Raw genomic sequence first — 26,220 nt, forward strand, 5'->3', positions numbered from 1 at the left:
GCCTCCCAAGTAGCTGGGATTATAGGCACCCACCACCATGCTCAGCTAATTTTGTATTTTTAGTAGAGATGGGCTTTCACCATGTTGGCCAGGCTGGTCTCGAACTCCTGAACTCAGCTAATCCACCTGCCTCGGCCTCCCAAAGTGCTGGCATTACAGGTGTAAGCCACTGCATCTGGTCTCTTTCTTATATTTTAAACAATCCCATAGATCAAACAGAACACATTCTTGTGGCCAAATGTTAGCTTCCAACTTCTGCTCTGGTTCCTGCAGAGAGGAGCAGGCAGAGAAGAAACTTTTCTCTTGCTTATGCAGTTGCATCTCTTGACATCATTTCTGTGGGTTACTTTGCTGTCAGGGCCTCTGTCTTCTTATTCAGGCTATCACAGACTCCTTCAAGGAAGGATGAGGGGAGAAAGAAGCTCGTCTTGGGCCAAGCTTTTCCCTAGTGGAGCACATAGAGCTTTGAGGCTTCCATGTTCCCTCCCATTAGCAAGTGCAATGTGGGGACTGGGGCTCCCCAGGCAGGATCTGGCCACATGCAAGGGGTCTCCCCTGGCCTGCCCTCCTTGTTTCAGGTCACTTGTGATATTGGGGGGAAAGGGGTGAGCAGCCAAGAACAGATCATTCAGCCACTTTAGGGTTTATAAAAATCATATAGATGGCCGGGCGCGGTGGCTCATGCCTGTAATCCCAGCACTTTGGGAGGCCGAGGCGGGCGGATCACGAGGTCAGGAGATGGAGACTATCCTGGCTAACACGGTGAAACCCCGCCTCTACTAAAAATAGAAAAAATCAGCCGGGCGCCGTGGCAGGCGCCTGTAGTCCCAGCTACTCGGGAGGCTGAGGCAGGAGAATGGCGTGAACCCAGGAAGCGGAGCTTGCAGTGAGTCGAGATCGCGCCACTGCACTGTCTGCCTGGGCGACAAGGCAAAACTCTGTCTCAAAAAAAAAAAAAAAAAAAAAAAAAAAAAATCATATAGATAAACTTTATTTCAGACCCAACCATTTCCCAACACCTGAACACCATTTTCAGGATCATCCCATTTCATCCACTGGGGTTTTGAATAATCCCAGTGACAGGGAGTTGACCCCCTATTGGTGGAAGTTATTTCATTTTTATACAATGCTAATGGTTGTAAATATCTTCCTTATAATGAGCGAACTATTCTTCCCTTGAAGTTAACTCTGCTCTTGGAAGTCACATAATCTAATTAAAGTATTATTTTGCATGATTGCCCTTGAAACATGTGGACTGCATCATATCAGAGTCAAATCTTCTTTGAACTAAATCTTCTCATTCCTTTTACCATTCCTCCCATGGCCTAGTTTCCAGAACGTTCATCATTCTATTTAGCCTCCTCTGAACCATTTCCAGTTTCTTTCTTGACATTCCTCTGAGCTGTTGACTCAGAGTTAATATCACATACCATCTTGGTATGAGCAACACAAACCCAGCTGGAACTAAATGAGGTGAAATTAAATCAGAACAGATGCAGGGTTCTTCACCACATGCTGTTGCTTTGTTTGGTGGGGTCAGTCCCTAAACAGAATTTCCCCTGAATTCTGAACCAATGGAGAAATGAGACAGGGGGCTTAAGACATCAGCTTTATTCCTGATAGATGCATTGGAGCACGGGTCTTAGGCATGTGGTAATAACGGTGCTCAGCCAAGGCAAGGTCGAAAAGTCTCAGGCCTCACCCACAGATGGGGCCTGGGCTGGGCAGCTGGGCTTAGCACAGGTGTTTATAGGCTGGGAGGTTGGAAGGAAGAGACAATAGGGTCCACGTGAGGGTCTGGCCTCTTGGATTTTCTCCTCTCCTTCTCAGTCCTGATCATTTCCTCCGAGTTGTCATTTGGTTCTCCTGCTAGAGAGAGAAAAGACCTTTGCACCAGGCAAAATGTTCATGTCCAATTCTTTCTGCCAAACTCACCAATCAGATACTTTGCTCCACCTCCCTGGGGGGAGGAGGGTAGAGGAGCCAGAGGGGCCAGGAACGTCACACTGAAAGCTATCCCTCCATATTGCAGACAGCATAGGAAGTGGGGAAGAAGTGTTCCCCTGTCACACTAGGTCCAGAAAACCAACACTTCTGACTGGGCATGGTGGCTCACGCTTGTAATCTCAGCACTTTGGGAGGCCAGGGTGGGCAGATCACCTGAGGTCAGGAGTTCGAGACCAGCCTGGCCAACAGGGCGAAACCCAATCTCTACTAAAAATACAAAAATTATTAGGGCATGGTGGTGTGCACCTGTAATCCTGGCTACTCTACTCAGGAGGCTGAGACAGGAAAATCGCTTGAACATGAGAGGCAGAGGTTGCAGTGAGCTGAGATCACACCACCGCACTCCAGCTTGGGTGACAGAGTAAAACTCTGTCCAAAAAAAAAAAAAAAAAAAAAAGAGAGAAAAAAGAAAAGAAAATCAACTCTCTGAATAGCGGATGCTGTGTCTAAACTGCAAACTGCAGCTGGTATGAAAATGGTCCAGGGAGGTTTGACTGTGAACTTAAATGGGGTCAGCACTGGGCTGTTTACCCCCAGTGAGCCCCCCATCCATCTTAAGCTTCCCTCTTAAGATATACAGTATCTAAATGAAGATATTAGACTACTCACTAGTTCTGCACTCATGAGAAAGCTGCTTCACCTCTATGAGGTTAATTTTTCTCACATATAAAGTGGAATCATGATTGATATCTCTTCTAAGTATTAAGCAAGATTGTGAATATATATTGCTGCCTGATACGTAGTAGCTGCTTTATAAAATATAATGATTTTTACCTATTTTCTATCTTTTCCAGTTCAGTAATCCCCTTGGCAAAGGAGACAAAAGGAATATAGGCGATGAGAGTTCTGCCTTCTGGGCCATTCATTAATGTGCCTCATCAGCCTCATACAATAGTGCCCTGCTCCTTTGTTCTTTTGCACTCTGACTGTTTCTTGGCTAGCAAGCCCTCTTTTTGTAGCAGACTTGCTTTGCAGGTCTCAGCTTAATCCCAGTTTTCACTGACAGATGCTTCTCCAGTGTTGAGACCCTTGGCTCTGTGCTGTCTAACTTTGGTTCATGCCCTTTTAAGCTCTGACCTCTTTGAGAGCTTCTGCTGGGACCACTCTAGCCTCTTGTGTTTTCTCTCCTGATTCTTCTCAGTCCTGATAATTTACCCTGAGCTGTCTTTTTGGTTCTTCTGTTACAGAGAGTCTTTGGGAGGTGCTGGACTGTGAAGACCTTTGCTCTAGGCAAACTGTTCACCTGTTGCATTGCCTCCTGAGTCCCCATCTCTCTATGAGGCAGGGCATTACCTCTTAGGTGGGGAGCGAAGGGTGCTGACTGGGAGCAGGATGTGTGATTGATGTGAGCCGTGGCTGGGGCCGAAGCTGGTTGTTTTCACAGCTCATGTTTTCAGTACCAATTGCCTACTATGCACGCTCGAGATACAGTGTGGAGCAAAAACAGAATAAGGCCCTGCCTCATGAAGCTTAATTCTAGCGGAGGAAGACATAACACAACAAACCAATGAATGGATAAGATGATCTCGGTGCCACAAAACCCTCATGGCCAGGACAGTGGTGTGACTGTGCTGTTGAGAGCCACCTTGTATCAGAGGCTTCCTATGTGTCAGATACTGTAAGGAGCACTTTCCATGCCTAATTTCATTTAATTCTCACAAACGCCTTATAAGATAATTTAAAAAAATATTATGGGCCAGGCACGGTGGCTCACGCCTGTAATCCCAGCACTTTGGGAGGCTGACACAGGCAGATCACTTGAGCCCGGGAGTTCAACACTAGACTGAGGAACATGGTAAAACCCCATATCTACCAAAAATACAAAAATTAGACGGGCATGGTGGTGGGCACCTGTAATCCCAGCTACTCGGGGAGGCTGAGCCAGGAGGATCGCTTGAACCTGGGAGTCAGATGTTGCAGTGAGCTGATAATGGAAAAAAAAAAATCATGAAAATCTTTAAGTGTACACAAGAGGAGCCAATGTACACAGTATACTCAATACCCCTATTCTAGAGTGATCATGGTCCAGATACTGATGAAATGGTTTTTATTATTAACCCCACTCAACGATGAAGAAATTGAGGTTTTTCAAGAGTTTACATAACTAAGGCCAAGTGACAAATAAGTAATTGGCAGTGCTGGAATTCAAATGCAGGTCTTTTAGCTCAAGAAGATAATATAAGCAGTGCAAAAAGGTAGATGGCAAGTGTGCTCCCCTTGAGGGAAAGGGGTATTGGCTGCCATCTTTTTCAGACCTGCTCAGCTGACCCAAGCACCTTCCGCATTCAGACACAGAATCTTATGCAAAGCTGACTTTCATTCCTTAAGAAAGAGAACTCCTTACCCCATAGCACCAGAGAACACTAAAGACTGAACAGCCAGGAACTTCCTGATCTCCCTCCATTAGCAGGGGTGGCACTTCTCCAGTGAGCAATCATAAGTGCTCTGTGCTCATGAAGCTTGTCACTGTTTTCCAAATATTCCCAGTCATGCCCGGGGTTTGTTACCTGGCTACCTTTAGATTACTACTTCAGAACCTACCTGGTATGTTGTTAAAGAATGAAGTTTAGGGAAGAGCTAGAGAAGAAGACAATGGCATAGGAGGGTTTTAAAAAAGAACTCTGATTAGCAGTGTGGAAAGGGGATTAGAATCCATTCATTCGTTATTTCACCAACACTTATTGAGCAACTCTGTGCCTGGTACTGGGAATATAGTGGCAAATAGTATGCGTTCATGACATTGAATCAACTTGCAGTATAGAGGAGCAGGTAGGCAAGAAGCCAGTATATTGCAGGACAGTATAATGTGTGAGAGTTCAGAGAAGTGGGCAGAAGTGAGAAGAGGCAAGAGGATGTAGGAGACTGGGGTAGAGGCCATGAGTTGGAAGGGCAAGCAGCCAACTGGAGGGACTTTATGAAGGAAGCCCTGTAGGACTTGCTGTCTTATTGGACCTAGGCAGAGAAGAAAAGGAGAGACCCACTGCACATTGGACTCTCCCTATCATGGCTCTCATCATATGCCCTTTCTGATTCTTCTTTTGACTGCCTGGATTTCCAGATGGACCATGAGCTCCATGCAGGGAGGCACTATGGCCCCAGTGAAAAACATGGTGTCCACAACAGGCTCAAGGAATGAATGCATAGACAAAGGAATGTAGAGAATGATTCTGAGGGTCTGAGGGTGATTTTTACAATGAAGAGAAACCATAGGTCTTGCGAGACTGAGGAAGAGGAGCTGACTTTGCGAAAAATATTATATCTTTTGTTTGAGACATGTTGAATTTGACATGCCAAGGTTGTATTCAGGTGGTGGTGTCCAAATTAAATTGGAGAAATGAGGCTAAAATACAAGAAACAGCCCAAGATGGAAGATAAAATTAGATTAATCTTCCACATAGGTAGGACAAATGAAGCTCTGAAACCTAAAAAGATATCTGAGAGACGAGTGTAGACAGAGATTAGGACAGGGCACTGGGCGGTGGGGTCCACTCATACCTATAGGATAGGAGGTGGAAGGGAGACCTGGGTGGTGTAGGGTTCCAAGGAAAATAGTTACAAACAACATCCAGTATGGAGGAGAGAGAAAATGAGATGAGCTGATAGCTCTGCTTTCACTGCCTTGGGGATACCGATTAGAGAGAATTCTTTCAGGAAAGGGCACAGGAAGGAGTCCCAGTGCAAAGGCAGCAAGGAGATGATGTTAGTGAGCAACTCTGAAAATTTGAGAATTTTGGTGGAAAAGGGAAGGAGAAGATGGGGAATTAGCTCCAGGGAACATGAAGATCAAAAGAAAAAGTTTGGTGGAAGAGAGAAATTTGGGGAGTGATTTGGAGACCCAGAAGGAAGGACTTGAAGAAGAGACATTAATAGTACAAAAAGGATTGTGATAACTGATGAACTAGGAGGCTGTTGCTTAAGAGATAAAGAAAAAGTGGACACTATAGACATCGCAGCTTTTGTTCTAGTTTGCAAGGCTAATATGACATGTTATTGGTTAGAAAGGCAATTTACTTATATAGGAAATCTTCAATTGTTTGTGGTGCCAGTGTTGGTTATAGGGTAGTTGTATAAGATGTGACAATGTACTGCTTGTAGTCAGTAGAATAGTTATGAGAATAAAATGAAATGAGCATGCCAAATGCTTAGTGTTGAGCCTGGCTGCATAGTACACAAACAGTGAATGCTGCTGTAGGAAATCAAAGAAGACAAAGGACAATAAAGTAACCAGAGAACGCATTATGATGAAAATAATCCTGGCTACTTTCTGGGCTGGAACAGGTAGTCCCATGTTGAGCTTATATGTTTCTGTTCAATTACATCTCTCCTGTTTATGACCCTTTCATATTCTTTATCAGCATTCTCTGTGACTATTTATTTAATATACTCTTCCCTCTCAAGCAATTGTTCTTTACTGGGAGCAATTTGGTTACCTAGGGGAATATTTGGCAATTCTGGAGATATTTTTGGTTGTCAAAACCTATAGGGTAGCGGGGAGTGACAACATGCTACAGGTATTGAGTGTTGAGGCCAGGATGCCACTGAACATTCTATAATGCAAAGGACAGCCCCTACCACAAAAAATTTACCTGACCTCAAATGTCAATAGCTCTGAAGTTGAGATACTTTCTCCTAGATGACGGGTCATGTCATTCATGTGCATCATGGTTTCCCCAAGTGCCAGGTACAAAGCAAGTCACATGATGGGTGCCCCATAATAATAAAGGGAATGGAGATTTAACTGCACCTTGAAGAATAGGCCAGGTCTGAATATATCTCCTGCTTTGAGTACAAGGTGTCAGAAGATGCTGTGAGCATTTCGGAAAGAAAGTTCACAAGAGAGATTGCAAACATTCTGGCTCCCAAAGAATGAAAGAGAGGAAACAGCCCTGGGGCTTTATCAGGAGACTGACATTCCCATAAACAAGAGAGTCTTGGAACAAAAGGTCTGGAACTGCAGGTAATACAAGAACACCCAAGACTACAAGCAGTTCATTGTTTTTACAGATAGACTTCAGCCAACCACTGAAGCAGCAGAGATGGAATTTTTAAATAGACACAAACTAGAGACAGTTCCTTTGGTAAGGCACAAAGGTGAGGCTTCTCAGCCCCATAGTGGGGCTGCATGCATACAGAGAAGGTCTCCACCTCGGGACAGCTTCTTGAATCCGGTGGATATCAACTGTCACTGTGTGTCAGAATCACCTTGGGGCTTTTAAAAAATAATGATGCTTGGGCACCCACTCCCAGAGCTCAAGTTTACCTGATCTAAGGCATGTGCCTGGGCATTGGTGTTTCTTTAGAGCGCCTCCGTCCCAGGTGAAGCTAATGGATAGCCAGCCCTACTTTACAAATGAACCACAGCTCAAAATCTTGTATAAACAATTTCTCTCTCCAACACCTTATGTACTCAGTTCCACTGGATGTCTTGCGCTTTATATGCTTGAAACTGAGTTCTTGATTTGGGACCCTTCCCTACCTGGCCCTTGCTCAGGGTTCCCCATCTTGGTGAGCTGCACTACCCAGCATTCTGTAGTGACCAGAATCCCAAGAACTCCCCTTCATTCTCATTTCTCTGCCCATCTTCTCCCCTGCCCGCCCATATACAATTCGTTCTCGGTGCTGAGGCTATTACTTTCCAACTGCACCTAGATATGTCCACGGCTCGTCACCTCCCCTGCTTCTGATGTAGTCAAAGCTACCGTCATTTGTTCTAGGGCTACTCCCTGGCCTCTGGGATTCCACTTTTGTCTCTTTAAGTTGTTCTCTGCAGAGTAGGTTGAGTGTCTTTTTCTGGCTTAAGACCCATCAAAGGCTTTCTGCTGTAGAGAATTCAAACCCAAACTTTTGCCCAAGACCAGAAGGCCCTGTGGAATCCGAGCCCCCAGATCCCACACCTCTCTCCCCTGCTAGTTAGCTTGAAGCACCAAGCTCTAAAGTCTTTCCATTTACTGTTCTTTTCACCGGGAATGCTTTTTCCTCCACCCTTTACAGGCTGGCTTCTTCTTCACCTTCATGTCTTAGTCTAAGACATGACAATTAACTGCTTGTAGTCATGCTTTTGTTTTGTTTTTGTTTTTGTTTTTAAATCTTGGCACTATTGACATTTGGGGCTGGAAAATTTCTTTGTCGTTGGAACTTTTCTGTACATTATAGGATGTTTAGTCTCTACTCACTGGATGACACAATAATCTGCTCCCCAGTTGTGATAAGAAAAAATGTCTCTAGACAATGCCAAATGCCTCATGAGGACAAAATCCCTGCCAACTGATAACTACTAGCTTAAATATTAACTTCTTGAACAGGTATTCTCTGTTCTCCAGGCTTTAAGTCTCCAGGTGTATTTCTCAATCTTCATATCCTATTTGTTACTTTCATAGAACTTTTCTCACCTTGAAATTGAATATTTATCTAGTAAATATCTGTGTCATAGTCCCACTAGACTATCTTGACTATTTCATTCAATTCTGTAATGATAGCATTGCGTACGGCTCCTGGTATGCAGTAGATGCTTAATAAACTTCTGTTGAAGAAATGCATGCACGCATGAATGAATGCATGAGCAAACAAAGACTGCTAGGCAGGCAAGTGCCTTCCCGCCAGGGTTAGAGAGATTATCTAGCAGTGCAAAAAGACCATGGACTAAAAAGGAATGAGATAATGCCCCTTGCAGAGACATGGATGAAGCTGGAAGCCATCATCCTCAGCAAACTAACACAGGAACAGAAAACCAAGTACCGCATGTTCTCACTCATAAGTGGGAACTGAACTATGAGAACATAGGGACACAGAGAGAGTAACAGCACACATCGGGGCCTATTGGGGTGGGGGTGAGGGTGAGGGGAGGGGAAGTATCAGGACAAATAGCTAATGCATGCAGGGCTTAACACTAGGGTGACGAGTTGATAGGTGAAGCAAACCACCATGCCACACATACAGCTATGTAACAAACCTGTAAGTTCTGCACATGTATCCCGGAATTTAAAGTAAAATAAAAAAAGAAAAAAAGAGCATGGACTTCGGAATCGTTAGTTGCAGCTTCTCAGCTCTGCCAGCTTCTTGCTGTGTGACCTGGGTCAGATAATTAACATCTCAGAGCCTCAGATTACTAATCTGTAAAATGGGGATACTACTTTTGAGAGTTTGCTTAACTGTGTAATCTTCCCTGCTCTCTCCCAGACCCCACGGGCTTTGGATGCTTCTTCATGTGCCCTTGGCACCTGGTGCAGGTCTCTATCAAGGGCTCACCATCACCAAGGATAGGATCACACTGTGCCGTCAGTGCCTTATACAGAGCCAACCACATCATAGGTGCTCAGGAAATAATGTCTGTGCGGTGTATGACCAGGAATCAAGTCGTATCCGAGATTTGAGGTCTTGTAGGTAGTTTGCTGAGACTATTCTTATACGGGTTGGTCCCTGGAAAAATGAGCAATCCCAGGTCCTTCCTTGGTGGGCTGTGGGAATGGGGAGGCTGTGCCCCTCTCTGTTGTTCAGGTGGGCATTCTCGTTTGCCAAAAATTGAGAAGCTACGCCTGGATCCTCTTACCTCTTTTTCTGTTTTGGTCTTCTGCCCAGGCCTTTGCAAATAATGAATTTAACAAAGATGTTGTCTGAGTGTCTCTTAGACCCAGGGAACTGAGTATGGGCAGCTGTTCCTCCTTGGTCAGAGCAAGCGAACTGTCATGTATCCAAATGTTTCTAGCGAGAGGGTCCTGTGAATGGAATTGTCAGTGAGTTCTAGTTTGCTCATAGCATGAGTCTCCCTCAGGGAGCAACCCTTGAGGTTTTCTACCTGCTCAGAAACTCTCTAGAGAAGGCTACACCCTGGGCATGCATTTCCCTTGAACTAGCTTTTCCTAGTCCCACTAGGAGAGTAAATGACAAAGCTGGGCCCTGAATCTAGGTCTTGCCCATCTCTCTATTTTTTTATGCTCAAAACTCACAATCCAGGGAAAAATATCCTTTCTCTTAGCTTGGGCAGTGTTGGGCAGTCTACTGAAGATCACATGTAGTAGGAGACAGGTAGTTCACTTTATTGGTCTCCTGGAACTGCTGTAAAAAAGCATAACAGACTGGGTGCCTTAAAACAGCAGAAATTTATTCACTCACATTTCTGGAGGCTGAAAAACTGAAGAGCATGGTACTGGCATTGCTCTTTCTTTCTGCATCATAACATGGTGGAGGGCATCATATAGCAAGAGGGCAAGAGCATGCCAGCTTAGGTCTCTCTTCCTCTTCTTATAAAGCCACCAGCCCCTCTTGGGGGCCCCATTATGACCTTATCTAGACCTAATTACCTCCCAAAGGCTCCACCTCTCAATGCCATCAACATATGAATTTGGGGATTAAGTTTACTACACATGAAATTTGGGGAACACATTCCAACTATAGCACTTATTAGCTAAAAGTTGCTAAGAACTTTTTTTTCTGGTAGCACAGGTTTTGGCTGCATGGCAAATGCAGAAGTCAACAGAAGGAGCCCACGTACATCAGGGAATTGGTGATCAGAGTCACCTAGACTGCAGGGGAAAAAGCCAAACCAAAAGTCTTACAGGTAGAGAAGATTTGGAAGAGGCACACATCCCAAGCAAACTACAATTGATGCACCCCTGCAGAGTCTACAGAAATGAAAAGAGAAGATCGAAATATCATCATTTTTCATTCTCCCGAGTTTTAATTTTTATTTATTTATTATTATTTATTTATTTATTATTAAAGTAGCAGAGATTGAAAACTAAGATAAAAAATGCCAACATAACCAATGATACGTTTAGCAGGATTGGGGAAAGTTCATAGCGCTAGCCATGGACTCTGAGTTCTCCACTAGACTGTAAGACCTTGAGGCCAAGAACTGTGTCCATCTTGGTCACCATTGTACCTGTAGCACCTAGCCCAGCATGGGGGAGCAGAGAGAAGCTGAGTGAATTGATTAAATTCATTGGTTGTGGCTGACCTCTAAAGATGTTCTATTAACTCTGAGACTGTGCACAGAGAAGACTTTGTGTGCTGCTGTCCATGGAAAGAAAGCTTCATCTTGTGTTGCTGCTGGGGAGCTCAAACAACACTGGACATGGATGGTACTGGACTGGTAGAGCATCTCCCTCTTGTATTATGTAAAGAAGTTCTAACATAGAATGCATAACCATAGATAGAAGTTCATTATCAGTTTTATTTAATAAGCAGTTGTTCCTGATAATCAAAGTGATTCAGATATCACTTAAGGTCACCATGCTCATTAAGTCAAGAGATTATGTGCTGGAGTCCTTACATGATGACCTAAGGCAGGTCTATCCATGCCTTCAACAGCATGTCTACAAATTCCCAAGCTTGTCTTTCTCCAAGTCACCTCTGGCTGTGATTTCTAGTGAAGATGAACTCTCATCTCTCATTCTTTACTCTGTTATCAGTCCAAACATGTAAGAGCCCTTTCTCCTTAATCACTTAACCTTAACCCACATATCGAAAAAAAAAAAAAAAGAAAAAAAAGAAAGAAAAGCCATGCACATAGATCAGATGAAAGTAATACGCTTTCCAGAAAATTCAGGGCTCCTCTGTCATCACAGACATTGTAAATATTAGACTGCCCCATTCTTTTTAAAATCTAACTTTTTTTTTTGGGACAGAGTCTCGCTGTGTCACCCAGGCTGGAGTGTAGTGGTGTGATCTTGGCTCACTGCAACTTCCACCTCCCAGGTTCAAGCAATTCTCCTGCTTCAGCCTCCCAAGTAGCTGGGACTACAGGTGTGTGCCACCAGAGCTGGCTAATTTTTGCATTTTTAGTAGACATGGGGTTTCACCATGTTGCTCAGGCTGGCCTCAAACTCCTGACCTCAAGTTATCCACCTGCCCCAGCCTCCCAAAGTGCTGGGATTCCAGGCGTGAGCCACCGGGCTCAGCCCTGCCCTATTCTTAACATACCACTTAGCCATTTCCACCAACTTGATTTCCCAACCTCCAGAAATGTTGCTTTCTCTTCCCACTCCCACTTCATCTCTTTGAGATGTCATTTTTTCCTCTTTCCCCACTAGTGTCTTTAGCAGAAAGGGAAGGGTGCTGTCCAGTAGAAATATTTCTATTTTTTTTAAAACCTAAGTCAACTCAAGTCACACCTTGGTTCAAAACTTTCTGATGATATCTCTCGTCACATTTTACAATAAAACTCATGGTCTTCCCCATGGCTGAAAGCAGAGTTTCTCAACCTCGGCTCTCTTAACATTTGAGGCCAGATGGTTCTTTTTGGTGGGGTCTGTTCTATGCATTTTGGGATGTTTAGCAGCTCTCTGGCCTCACCAGATGTCAGTAGCCCATCCCCATTTTTACAATCAAAAATGTCTCCAGACATTGTCAAATGTTCCCTGGGGGGGAACTGAAAATCACTGACTTAAAGGCCACATGGACTGGCCTTGAACTACTGCTGTAATTTAGCTCCTTTTATTCTCTTTGATTGTTCTGCTCTGGTTAAAATGGCCTCTCTGCTGTTTGACTGAGAATTATGTTCCTGTCTGAGAGCCTTTGCACCTGCTCTGCCCTGTGCCTGGTGCACTCTTCCGTGAACATGGCATCCTGGCACCCAGTCACTATTCTGTTGCAAACACCCATTCCCACCTGACGCCAATACATTTGCTTATTGAATGTCTCCCATGACCTCCTACAAGCTAAGCTTCATGGGATGGGGACTTGGATGGTTTTATATGTTGCCGTGTCCCCATGATGTAGAAGAGTACATGGCACATGCTCAACAAAGAGCTATTGAAAGAATGAGGTAATGAATAGGCAGGAACACACAGGATGGAGTAAGTAGCACATATGTGAGATGATTAAGAAATCAGCCCAAGTAGAATAGAAGGTATGTCCTAAGGTTGGGAAATGTAGAAAACTCCCCCACAGTGGGCAAATGATAGAAGTTATTGACATCCAGACAGCGTACTGTATCCACCATCTATCAGACAAGTGGGTGTCAGAGCAGGTTCATGAGCTGGGGAGAGATGTGGTAAGAATGGAGCAGAAATGAGAAGCCTGGATTCAACCGGAAAACCATGCAATAGAAGCGTGGATCCAACTAGAAAATAACACAATGCTCTGGTGTGAGTGAGGGTGGCGAATTGGTTTCCTCTGTGGTTGGTGAGGAGTACTGGAGTGAGTAGATTCTAAGGGAGAGGTGATTTGATTGAACAGTGTCCATGGTGGAATGAGAAGTGTAAGCTGGCCCAGGTACCAAGGGTTTGTCATCTCTGTTGTAAAGAACTAGGTCAATGGTGGTAATTAGCAATGAAACAGAAAATAGAAAACTGTAAATCACAGACATCTTGGATTTTATTCAAGTTTGGCAAGTTGCATCTTGTACCATTATATTTTGGAAGCGGCTGAGTGAGTTTTTGGTCATGTGTTGGCAAGAATGACATCCTGTCAGCCAGGAAGCATCTTTCCCATGAAAAAAAGGGACATTAGTAAGGCTGCCCTACTTAGATAAAACCTTAGATAATGATAAAAGGGACCTTGGGATAGTGGGGCAATTTAGTTGTATCTCTGGTTAGTTTTCTCTTTTTTGTGTTATGCTAATCTTAAGTAAATTTACTTTTTATGTAGTTGCTTAACGTGTTTTTACAAGTGTTACTTTACTTGTAGCAATTCTTGTGAAATACATGGTTGGAACATTAACAAAAAATTTCTATTAACCAAGCCACAGGAAAACATAGGAGAATGAACAAAAGAAGCCAGCCACAAAGAGGACCGATACCTATTTCCATCTATTTAAAACAAAAATCAGGTAAAACGGATCTATGCTGTTGTAAGTCAGGATCGTGGTAACCTGTGAGGGGTGGGGACAACTGGAAGGAGATACAAGGGAGATCTCTGGTGAGCTGTTGATGTTGTTTCTTAACCTTGGTGCTGATTAAGTTTCTCTATAATGTATAATACATAGCAGATTGGTAACCTCAAAAATGCTATTGCCTATTCACAACGATAGGTGAAATATACACTAGTCATTGATTCACGGAAGTTGACTATATTCAGAGAGAATGTGTTAGACAGGAAATACAAACAAACAAAAACAACCAACCAAACAAAAAAACAGGTGCCTTAGAATCTTATGGACGTAGGGTTCAAATGGCACCTCTGCTTTTTTACTTGAGTGAGGCTGGAAACTTTTTATATTCTTTCTGAAGCTTGGTTTCCTCACCTGTAAAATGGGAAAAAATGTGCACTTTTATGGGAGCCAATTGGAAGCTCTAAATAGCCAAAGCTAGAAGAGTTAGAGCAACACAACAAAGTAGTAAGCCATAATCCAAAGTATAAAATCAATATTCATGAGTCCAAACTGATATAAATAAGTGATTGAACTAATTAATAAGCGAGGGAGAAGAGATAAATCTCCTGTGCAGAATTCCAAATAATGTATAGAGCTATTCCACCCTAAAGAAGGAAGAGCATAACTCCCCACTTTCTCTTTTCTTTTCTTTTTTTTTTTTTGAGAGAGAGTCCCCCTCCGTCACCAGGCTAGAGTGCAGTGGCGCAATCTCGGCTCACTGCAAGCTCCGCCTCCTGGGTTCAAGCGATTCTCCTGCCTCAGCCTCCTGAATAGCTGGGACTACAGGCGCGCACCAACATGCCCGGCTACTTTTTGTATTTTTAGTAGAGACGGGGTTTCACCATGTTGGCCAGGATGCTCTCGATTTCCTGACCTCGTGATCCACCCGCTTCGGCCTCCCAAAGTGCTGGGATTACAGGCGTGAGCCACCGCGCCCAGCCTAACTCCCCAGTTTTTAAGTGTGGCCTGTGCACAACGGCTTCCTTTCAAAGCGTACAGCTTGGGAAGGGGAAAAAGCAACTGTGCAGTGGAGAAAACTGATGAACACCACTTCAACCAGGTCAACATCTTCCAGGTCAACATCAGCAGCAGTCTTAAGTCACATGGGTGCTATGTACCCTTAATGTGATGTGATGTGATGAAATGGCATTTTACCTCTGTGATCTTCTTCCCCCAAACCTATAATCCCAGTCTAATCAGGAGAAAAGCATCAGACAAATTCAAATAGAGAGGCGTTCTACAAAATCCCTGATGAGCACTCCGTCAAACTATCAATTATGTCAACTATGTCAGGTCTGAGAACCTGTCATAGCCCACAGGAGTCTAAGCAGACAGGATCACTAAATGTAACACAATGTCCTGAACAGGATCCTACAGCAGAAAAAGGACATTAGGTAAAAGTAACGCAATGTGAATAAAGTATAGAATTTAGTTAATAATAATGTATCAATATTGGGTCATTAATTGTAGAAGATGTAACTACATCATACTAATGTAAGATTGTTGTTGTTGTTAATTTTTTTTTTTTTTTTTTGAGATAGGGTTTTGCTCTGTCGCCTAGGCTGGAGTGCAGCAGTATGAGCATGCTCACTGCAGCCTCAACCTCCTGGGCTCAGGTGATTCTCCCACCTCAGCCTCCTGAGTAGCTGGGGCCAGGGGCGTATGCCAGCACACCTGGCTAATTTTTAAATTATTTGTAGAGGCAGGGTCTCCCTTTGTTACCCAGGCTAGTCTCAAACTCCTGGGCTCAAGCGATTCTCCTGCCTCAGCCTCCCAAAGTTCTGGAATTACAGGTGTGAGCTACCGCACCCAGCCATAAGATGTTAATAATAGGGAAACTGTATGCGAAGTATTTGGGAACTCTCGGTACTAGCTTTCTGATTTTTTTGTAAATCTAAATTTGCTCTAAAAAATAAAATCTGTTTTTTTAAAAAATGTGCATCTTACCTTAGGTTGCAAGCATAAAGTGAGATAACATATATAAACATAAGGCTCTCAAACTTTTTGGACTTAGTCCCCTTACATGGGCAAAAGTCATTAGGGCTCACCTACCCCACCCATTCCCACATCAGCTTTGTGTTGGTTCACATGTGCCCTAAGGGTAATGCGAATTTTCACGGTGACCAGGTCTTAGTTGAATGCTGAATTACAGTCATCTGTACAGTTCAGTTTCCTTTGTGAATATAGAATCGAGAAACCCTTCCTAAGTTATGTTCCTATTAAAAAATGAAGGTCATTTAAAAGAAAAAATCTGATTTTTAGGCACTGTGGACAGATGGCGGGGCTCAGGGAGGGTGATGAATGGGTCCAGGGAGCGAGTACAGGGCAAGAACATGAAACTGTGAGAAGGTGATGGGTTGTGCCTGGACTGTGATACTTCTTCATTTACTCAATTGTTCATTCTGTCATTCGGTAAATATTTACTACAGGCGCTCAGTGGGTGTGGGGTCTGGAACAGTGAACCAGACAGCCCAAGAGAGTCCGTACTCTGATGGAGATCACCTAGTTTCTTCTCTTTCCTGCCTGTATTATTTTCCAATGAGTGTTCCCTTAAGGAGGAAACTGGAGTTCTCTATAAAAGTAAACTATGACATATTCCTAGAACTTTCCTATTAATAACATTCACCAATATTGTAATTATTTATCCAATGTGCATCTTCTCTCTAGACCAGGGTTTCTCAGCCTTGGCACTGTTGATATTTGAGGATGGATGTTGGCTGGCAGATGTTGAGAAGCATCCCTGGCCTCAATAGTAGTCTGTGTTGTGACAACCAAAAATGTTTCCAGACATTGCCAGATATTCCCCAGGGGACAAAATTGTCTGTGGTTGAGAATCGCTTTCCTGCATTGGTGGCTCTCAATCCTGGCTGAAGTTTGGAATCTCCTGAAGAGATCTCAGAAACTGTTGCCAGTGGATACCGACCCCTATCCAGGCCAATTAAATGGGAGTCTCTGGGGATGGGCATTGACTTTTTTTTAGATTGTAGTGGGATTGAGGAGTGAGAACCTCTTTCCTAATCAGTATGCGTCATGAAGCCAGGGAGTATTTGTCTTCTGTGGGTGGGTGTTTTTAGGACCTAACACAATGATATCTGAATGAATGAGGGAACAAAAGAATGAAGGTGAAGACAGGTAGGAAGATGTGTCAGAAGTTAAAAGTGGCACCGGGACAGTACAGGAATGTGTTTTGCAAAGAGCAAACCTGGGTTTCACGGCTGACTCTACCACATTCCCGTTGTGTAGCTTTGGGCAAGTGTTTAATTTCCCGGGCACTTCAGTTGCTCATCTTAACACAGGAATCACAAGAATATGGGAGAATTCTTCATAAAGGTTATGTTCCAAGAAAAATGCATTTGTTTCCATTAAAAAAAATTGACATGAAAAATCTAGCTATTTCCCAAGGCCTCCTCACCCGACAACTGTTATCCGTTAAGAATGCTGAGGGCAAAGGAGGAGGGAGGTCAAGTATTTGCTCTTCCTGGATTAAGAGTTGAGCTTTTATTTTGACCTCAGGGCAGTCCTAAGTATGCTAGAGTTTTGTTGTATTTCTCTAACATTTTATTATACCTTAATCTATTTTATGGGGAACAGGCAATGTCAACATGAGGGTGGCAATCTGATGGATTGCCTAAGTCTTAAACTAAAGGGTGGGGAAAGTCCACTTCCCACTAGTTTCCCACAGGCTTTCTACCAGCTAAACAGCTTTGATTCAGATGACCTTTGTAAGTGGGAAACTGTAGGTCAGGGATCTCCAACTCAAAAGGCTATGGGGTCAGGGTAGGCTGCATTACTGAGGGAAGCTGGTGATGGGAATGTGTGTGTGTGTGAGAGCTCTTGATCAGTGAACCTTGTTTCTTCAAGTGCATACCCCATCAGAGGGGGAGCCCCGGAGGTCCTCAGCCTCAGCTGATGGGTCCCTTGTGGGAATGCCGACTCATCTCCTGGTTAATCAAGAGAAACCATTGATCTGGGTTTTCAGGTACAATCTCCCGATTCTGAGTCTTTGTTCAAATTTTTGCAAAATTCATTGTGTGGGACAAATGAAATGCCTATTCAGATCACATCCTTTTACTGATAGATAGCAGATCTTCAATTTGTGTTTGTCCGTTCTACCATAAGAAGTGAGATTCCACTATGAGAAAGGGTCTTGGTGCCTCTGAAGATACCAACCCCGTAAGCACCTCCACCTTAAGCTGCTGGTAGTTGAAGACATCATTGGCAAAGGGAGCACTCGGAGGAGCTTTAGGGGCAAGGACGCATAAAGCAGAGCTGTGATCTTTGGCTGATTCATCGCTGTGGCTAGAAAAGCAGTGAGGACCTTCTGAGAGAACTGATCTGAAAACCTTTTTGGTTCCAGAAACTGGAGGGAGCCAATGAAAGGAGTAGTGTAGTGTCGGTTTTTTAAAAAAAGTTTCCATTTATGGGCCAGGCGTGGCGACTCACACCTGTAATCCCAGCACTTTGGAAGACTGAGGCAGGTAGATCATGAGATCAGGAGTTCAAGACCAGCCTGGCCAAGATGGTGAAACCCCGTCTCTATTAAAAATACAAAAATGAGCTGGGCATGGTGGCAGGTGCATGTAATCCCAGCTACTTGGGAGGCTGAGGCAAAGAATTGCTTGAACCCAGGAGGCAGAGGATGCAGTAAGCCAAGATTGTGCCACTGCACTCAAGCCTGGGTGACAGAGTGAGACTCTGTCAAAAAAAAAAAAAAAGTTACCATTTATTTAATAAACATCTGGAGAGCAGTGGCTTTGTGCCAGACCTTGTTCCAATTACTTTAATATATCAAATTATTTAATCCTTCGAACAACTCTATGACCCAGGTCCTACTGTCACTCCATTTTAAAGATGGGGAAACTGGGGCACAGAGAGGTTAAGTGACAGCCAAAGTCACACAGCTGTTAAGTGACAGAGCTGGGATTTGAACCCAGGTCTCCCAGCTCCAGAATCCAGGTTATCATCATTTCTCTTGGCTGTATTTTAATAGGGACGATTTTATCTATAGTAATGAAAAATTATGGCTTTGAAGACTATGTAGAAATATGTAAAACCAGTCTATATAATAGTAATTTAAAAATCAGCTGTCAAATTGTATGTGTGCTATAACTGTTAAAGAACGATATGTAGGAAAAAAGACTAGAAGAAAAAGAACATGAACATTATGAGAGTTATGCAATATGGTGAGATTATGGAGAATACCTTCTTTTATTGATCTCAGTATTGACTGTGAGCTTTTATTTCTTGTATGATGTTTTATTAATGACTAAAAAACATTTACAGGTTTGTAAATTTATCCCCCATCTTCCTTCTTTCTGAATGTAGCTTCCAAAGGACAGTGCTTGTGTTCCAGGGCACATGCATCCCAGCACTCAGTCCTGTATTTACAGGGTGGATGCGTTTTATTCAAGAGGCCTGGCCTGAAGAACTCCCAAACACGCGTTATTCACAACGTGCCCAATTTAAGACTTGAACCAACAAATGATGGGGTGTTTCCGTTCACCAGCTAATATGGTGCCCCCATGTGGCAGTAGCATAAATACACTTTGCAACTACATTACACAATTCCTAATACCCTCAAATTCAAGGTGATTCACATTATTTCCCTTTTGCACATAAACTGAGTCTTTATTAACATTTTTAGAATTAACTGCTATTTCAAATTCACTCCAATCTTGTACAAATGGGTCTGTAGTAGTCATTGCCTGTCCCAAGTTGATGGGTTTCCAGGCTGCTAGAGACAGAATGATCCCAAATGACATAGTTTAACACCAACCTCAGCATTTTCTCTGCCCTGTTGAGCACTTACTATGAGTCAGGTGCCCTCAGCACTAGTGACAAAGGACCCTCTCTCAGTTTGTAAGGCACAAATATTCTAGTGCCCTCTTCAATGCTTATTCATCCAACATGTGCTTTTTATTGAGCATCCACTATGGGCTAAGCCTTGTGCTTTGGAGGATTTGAATATTTTATACCCCAGTTGTTTATATCCTAATCTGTGCCTGGCTCCAAACTACCTCTGCTGTGTCTTAGCTGAATGACTTAATCCTTCTGTGCCTCAGTTTCCTCCTCTGTAAATGGGTGATGGTAACATTACTTACCCCCCAGGGTGATTGAGAGGATTCAGTGAGTAAATGCATGTGAACTAGCTGGAACTTGGTAAACATGCAATCCATACTTGGTGTGCTTATTTTCAAACACCACTGTTGGGTAACTCTTATGAAACACTTCCAACTTCTCACGAAAGCCCTGGCTTTGTTGCCAGGTTTCCGGAGTATACAATTATTTTCCCCTCTCCTCAAGGAGTGATTCCTTAGCCACAGACTTTTTCAAGGCCCTCTGACCCCTGAGCTGCCTCAGGACTTCATAGACACCAGGCCTAGCACAGCCTGATCTCTAACATCATAAGTCAGAAATGACGTCACGGTTACAGCCACGATACTGATGACAGCCATTCACAACACGCTGGGCCAGTGCGAAATCCTGTCTTGCTGACTGCCCATGCCAGTCTAGGAGGGGGTGTTATGATAATCCTACCTTCCATGTGAGGAAGTGGAGGTTCCACATGGTTATATGTGACTTTCCCAAGGCTTGTAAGTGGAAGAGAAGAATCAGGCAGTCTGAGTCTTAACCAAGATGTTCAGCTGACAGTCAGTAGAGGCAAACTCTACATTTACCAATATTGTGAGTGGAAACATCTGAAAATTAAAATAAAGACACAGTTTTATTTTTTAAAAAGACTGATGTAGTAATTGTTTGGAATAGGCTCTATTAGGCATTTCACAAATATTAACTGACACAGGTACCATTATTTAGCCCATTTTACAGGTAAGGAAGCAGAGGCAGAGAGTAATTAGAAAGGCTCTCTAGGGTTACACAGGCAGGAATAGCAGGGCTAGACTCGCACCCATTCGCCTATGCCACACTGCCTCATGGGTAAACACAAGCAGATGGTCTCCCGTGATCTTTGGCTTCATTAATTTACTGCCAAACAAAAAAAAACCTCAGATTTAGTTAGGAGAGACTTTATTCAAAAGGATTATTGCAGTAGAGGGAATGTTCTGACCACTTAATCTGCAAGTGTCTCAAGATGAGGCAGTAAATATTTTGCTTTGCTAAAGAGGCATAAACAAGGTTAGAAAGAAGTGGGTGTTGGGGGCTGGGATGATCAGAGTGACACAATCAGACAGTGGTTGAGGGCTGATCAGGAAGGTCTGTAAAGAGGAGTTGTCTGCTGGCTCAGGCTGAGGGTGGGCCAGGACCTGGGGAAAGGAGAGACTCTACACCAAAGTTAGGTTAACGAACACTTTGTTCCGACTGACCAGTGGAAACAGGCAGTTAAACTAACCACAAAAACAAAGAAAGGGAGTTTGGAGGCTCTGGGTCTGGCCTTGTCATAGGTAAACAAGTGGGGGCACCTATGAGTCTCATCTAAGTCATATGGGGAAGGGAGTTCTTTGCAGTGAGCTGTTTCCCAGAACACAAAAGGGTGGGGACATTTCTTAACCTTTGCAATTTTCCAGTATCACAGGGCTTGCCTAAAGTTCAACACTGTTGTCACCTGTAGGCTCTTCCAAGGAACTTTCCTAAGAGAGTCAGATCCTAGGCTCATGAAGCTGCTCAAAGGCACTGCCTTCCAAAATGTGACAAATTATCCTCTACTCAAAGGAAAAGGAGTCAAGATCACAATGTCTCCTCCTTGCTCGCATCCCTTTACCTGCCACGCTGGCTTCTTTCACTCAGTGTAATGGTTTCAATGTTCATGCTGTAGCAAGCATAGAAACTTCATTCCTTTCTATGGCTTAATAATATCTCACTGTTGGGTATACCATATTTTTTATCCATTCATTAGTTGATGGATGTTTGGTTAGTTTCTTTTTTTCTGTTGTTATGAATAATGCTGCTATGAACATTTGTGCACAGGTTTTTGTGTAAATATATATTTTCATTTATCTTGGGTACACACCTAGGAGCAGAATTGCTAGGTCGTCTGGTGACATTATGTTTAACCTTTTGAGGACTGTTTTCCAAAGCAAAGATAACTAGTTTTAGTGTCTGCAGTAAGTGAAAAAGATGTTCAGGAAAGACACTAAAACTAACTCGAGAAAGAAGAGGGATTATTAGGAGGATGTGGAATTTCTTAAAGCATACATGGGGAAGAGAGCACTTGAGGTTTACCAGAGAGTGGAAAGCTATCATGAGCCAAGAAGATGCTCGTCTATGTCTGTGGACAACATCTGACCTCAGACTCTGCTCTTATTTGTAGCTTTGCCTCTTGTTACTCTTCAAGAGGACTTAGCCCATATCTCCATGTGCATGAAGGAAGACAGCCACCCAGTCCCCCCATTTGCTATTGAGTTTAATGACCTCTTTGGTCAGACAGTATCGGACACTGCTTTGGATCTTGCAGCCACAATTCCACATTTCTGAAAGAGAAAAGCTGGTTGACTCTGGTCCAATCAGCCCCAGACAAGAGGTGGAGTTACACAGGACAATTATAACCTTGTGGACCCCTGTGGGGAAGGGGAAGCTGGGAAGCTCTCAGCATCTTGTGTGGAGGCACACAGTGTTGAACACATCAAAGTGTTTGTGGGATGCAAGGCCAAAGGAAGGATTGGAAAGTGCAAAGTTCATGATTCTCAGGTGGATTTGGGGAGCAGATGATGGACTTCAGGTTTGGATACAGGTGACAGTTTGCATGCCTTCATGGTCAGCAGCTCTAAGTGGGTGGATGACCCCTTTCCCCCTCTCTTAGCTCTCTAGAGAGCAGCAGATACCCTGATTGACTGTTTATGTGCTCCGTAGAGTCAAGGTCATGGTGTTTGTCTCTGCACTGCAGAACAGTTTTCTTCTCTGTGCAGAAGGAACATGCTGGGCATCCTGATATCACACAAGCCTCTAGGGGGAACTGGGGGCTTTAAAATCCATGGCCCCCATATATCTAGCTGTGCCAATAATAAGGCAGAAGCATAAGGTATGGTACCTCACAAAATGGGAAAGGCTGTCCACGAAACACTTGGTCTCACCCAGCAGGGTGTGTATAACCAGGCTCTAGATACTTTTAACTCCAACCTGGTTCAAAGTTAGTTATTTTCAGGTTAATTCATACCCTTTCTTACAGACCACAAGAGGATCATCCTGGGATTAGCTTGCCCAAACCTCCCTTCTCTGCTGACACAGATGAAGGAGAAGGTGGCTGGTCCAGTACGACAGTGACTCATGAACTTGGATTTAGGATCCAATAGAGTCCAGGTCGATCCCTACCATCTGTGTGATCTTGGCATCTCTTGTTTTCAGTTTCCTCATCTGTAAGATAGGAAGGATAATTTCTACTGTAGACATTTGGGGAATAATTTTATAAGACAGACTTGACCACTACTGGTATTTAGGGGATTCCAGGGAGAGCACACACAGCACTGGTCTGCAGTCTGGTGAACTTGCCAGTGTCCAGCATCTGGCCTCAGCACTGTGGATCCAGAAGTTGGATTTGTCCAGCAACAGGTCCATTTCTTCAGGAACTGGGCTCACAAAATGGTTATACACATATATTATATATTAGTACCAGAATTCTAATGCATTAATTTACACTAAGACAGGTGTCTATCACATGGTCCAGACACTTGCATGTGTTTCAGTTGGTACCATCTCCTCCTCTGGCCAGCCCCAGGGAGGAAACCACTTACACTCAAGAGCTATTTGCTGGGCAATGACATACATGGAGACATAAGAAGGAAGGAGATGGAGCAAACGTTAAATGCAATCAGTGATGGCAACCAGAGGCGTTCATCTCATAATGGTGGTGTCAGAAGGACAGGAGTACACACACCTTTTGCCATGACTATCATTCTCTCTCTGGCAGTGTTCGCACATGCCAACCATGCTAGGATCTCTCTCTCTTCCACCTTTTTCTACACTTAGAGGACTGACCAGTCTCCATTCTAATTAGCATAGCCTTTAAAAAAAGAAATTACAGAAGAAAAATAAGTACTTTTTTGTAGCAAAAATGGTAAACATTACAAGATAAGGTCCACCCTCCATTCTGCCTGTCCTCCTAAGGAAAACTTAGGGAATCTCTCCTTCCAAATTCTTTTTTATTTTATTTTATTTTTTTACATTTCCACACCTCGCTATTTATGGCATCAACTCTCCTTCTTTTTTGCATTAAAATTGGATTTTATTAATTATTATTATACTGCAAATTATTTTATTTCACTTAACAAAGCATCTTGGAGCAATAGCCATGTCATTGTCAATAGTTCTATTCCATCTTTAAAACTGCTTTGTCTTATTCCATTTTGTGTACCGTAATTTAGGTACCCATTCTCCTATTCATAGACATTTAAGTTAATTCCTTCTTTTGCTTTTATACAGTGTTGTAAAGAACATCATTTATGTGCCTGCAAGTATTTCTCTAGGATAAATACTGAGACTTTTTGGGTCAAAAGATAGGCCAATTCACACTGGTGGATTTTAGTCCTGCACATGTTTATCAATAGTGTATGTGAACACCTGCCCTCTCTTTGCAGACAGTAGATTTCAGGCCCCTGTTGTTAGCTTGGAAGCGAGATCTCTTTCCTGCCCACTCACATACTGATCTTTGAGTTGATTCTCTGCATGTACTCTGATTTTCCTTATTTCCCAATTCTTGGCGGGCATGTCTGACTACCAACAAGAGATCCCTGCAGGAGTCCAAGGAAGATCACATGACACAGGCAATGTGAAATACTTTCTTATTAAAACAAGAGAGACGTTAACTGTTATATGTTTATTATGGTGTATGTAGCTCAAAGGGTGATTTAATGTTCATGTTATCTTCAACTTAGGAATTTCAGACATCAACGTTTTGCACTTGTGGGTATAAAACACTTTTTCCTGGGTCCCTAATACCCTCTTGGCTGGGTTGGGTATACTCCCATCTCAAATTCTGAGAAGCTTAAGTCATACTTTGTGTATTACATTAGTCTCTGTTTTCACAGAGCAATGCAATTAGGGCTTTCTATCTGGTTTCTGTTGTAACTTTCTTTTTAGGCTTGACGTCTATTCCATGGCTCAGGGCAGACCATGGATAGGGAAAAAGGCCCAGGAGGGTGAGAAACACAGGTGGCCATGAACTTTTTATAATCCAGCATGAACTGGCCCCCATGGGCAGCCTCTGTTATTGCCCTGTGTCTCCAAAAGGCAAAACCGAGTCCAAAGTATGAGTTTGTAATGAATGTTTGACTGAAGGTTTTACAGAGTGAGTGAAGTTACATCAAACACTACACATTATAGATTACTGAAGCTACTTCCATTGGATGCCTTGGTTTTCCTTCCCAATTACTTTGGCCACCAGCCACTCCTGGACTACCCTTCCCCCATGCCTTTCTCTTTCCACCTATGCCCACTCACAACCCCTAATTCTATATTATGCCCCTTTCTTTATATGGGGAAATGTATCTGTCTGGCTTGGCTTCTCCTCCCACCTCTCCACTTAGAACATAAAGAAACTTCCTCAGGAACCCCTCTCTTCAGAGAGCATGGAGAATCGTAAACAACGTAATATGTTTTCCTTGTTAAATATTTTCTCCTGTCACTCTGGTTTGACCTCACTCCCTACTCCCCTGACCCTATGCAGGTGGTGATTGCGGGCTTGGCCATGCTTTGTGCAAGTATCTGGATGAGCTGGGCTTCACGGTATTTGCCGGAGTTTTGAATGAAAATGGCCCAGGAGCTGAGGAATTGCGAAGAACCTGCTCTCCGCGCCTCTCGGTGCTCCAAATGGACATCACGAAGCCAGTGCAGATAAAAGATGCTTACAGCAAGGTTGCAGCAATGCTGCAGGACAGAGGTACTGCCGCCAGCACCCTCAGTGCCTTTACCCTCCTCCTGAATGCCCAGCTCTTGTTCCGGCTTAGGCTGAACATGCCCCCCCACTCCACTCTGGGCACTGTTTGCCCTGAAGCACACCTGTGCTGAACCCCTACCATGTGTGGGGGCCTCTATCAACATGAAGACCTTCGGAGTAACTCAGACATGGGCCCATCCACACAGAACTTACAGAAACCTCAGTCTCATTCTCTCCAACTTCTCAGTCACTCTCCCATGAATAATTCCTCCAGCCCCAGCTCATTGCTTTTCTGTCCGCAATAGCAACATGCATTAGAGTCTCCAGCTTCGAAAAAAAATACCTTCATGGTCACTGTCCTTCTTTACCCATTACCCTTCCTCTTCTCTTTCCTTCATGGCTACGCTCCACGGAACCCTGTAGCTCTGTGATTCTCTTCCTCACCTTCAATTTGCCGTTGGCTCTCACTCTGCCTCCCTAACTGATCTGGCAAAGCTAATCAGAATTAGCCTGAAGACCCAGGTTTTTTTTGTTTTCAACTTTTATTTTAAATTCTGGGTTACACGTGCAGGATGTGCTG

At 43.5% G+C, this 26,220-nt stretch overlaps 1 protein-coding gene and 1 long non-coding RNA gene across 5 annotated transcripts in view; one reads left to right on the plus strand and one right to left on the minus strand.

The window, feature by feature from the left end:
- The window catches only part of HSD17B2 (hydroxysteroid 17-beta dehydrogenase 2), a 63,282-nt gene that overhangs the window by 7,487 nt on the left and 29,575 nt on the right, over positions 1 to 26,220 (plus strand). For both annotated transcript variants that reach the window (NM_002153.3, XM_047434049.1), the window contains exon 2: positions 25,431 to 25,643. In NM_002153.3, coding sequence (NP_002144.1) covers positions 25,431 to 25,643 — 213 coding nt within the window. The remainder of the gene's footprint in view (positions 1 to 25,430; positions 25,644 to 26,220) is intronic.
- On the minus strand, positions 1,597 to 24,027 carry HSD17B2-AS1 (HSD17B2 antisense RNA 1). Of its 3 annotated transcripts, XR_933796.3 has the most exons (3): positions 20,354 to 24,027; positions 9,554 to 9,719; positions 1,597 to 1,869 (listed from the first exon to the last, which is right to left on the minus strand). It is a non-coding gene; the product is annotated as an HSD17B2 antisense RNA 1 (long non-coding RNA). The 3 variants fall into 3 exon arrangements; XR_933797.3 differs by lacking the exon at positions 9,554 to 9,719; XR_007065140.1 differs by having other exon boundaries at positions 1,597 to 9,719.

Source organism: Homo sapiens, chromosome 16, assembly GCF_000001405.40.
Source record: "Homo sapiens chromosome 16, GRCh38.p14 Primary Assembly".
Taxonomy (NCBI): domain Eukaryota; kingdom Metazoa; phylum Chordata; class Mammalia; order Primates; family Hominidae; genus Homo; species Homo sapiens.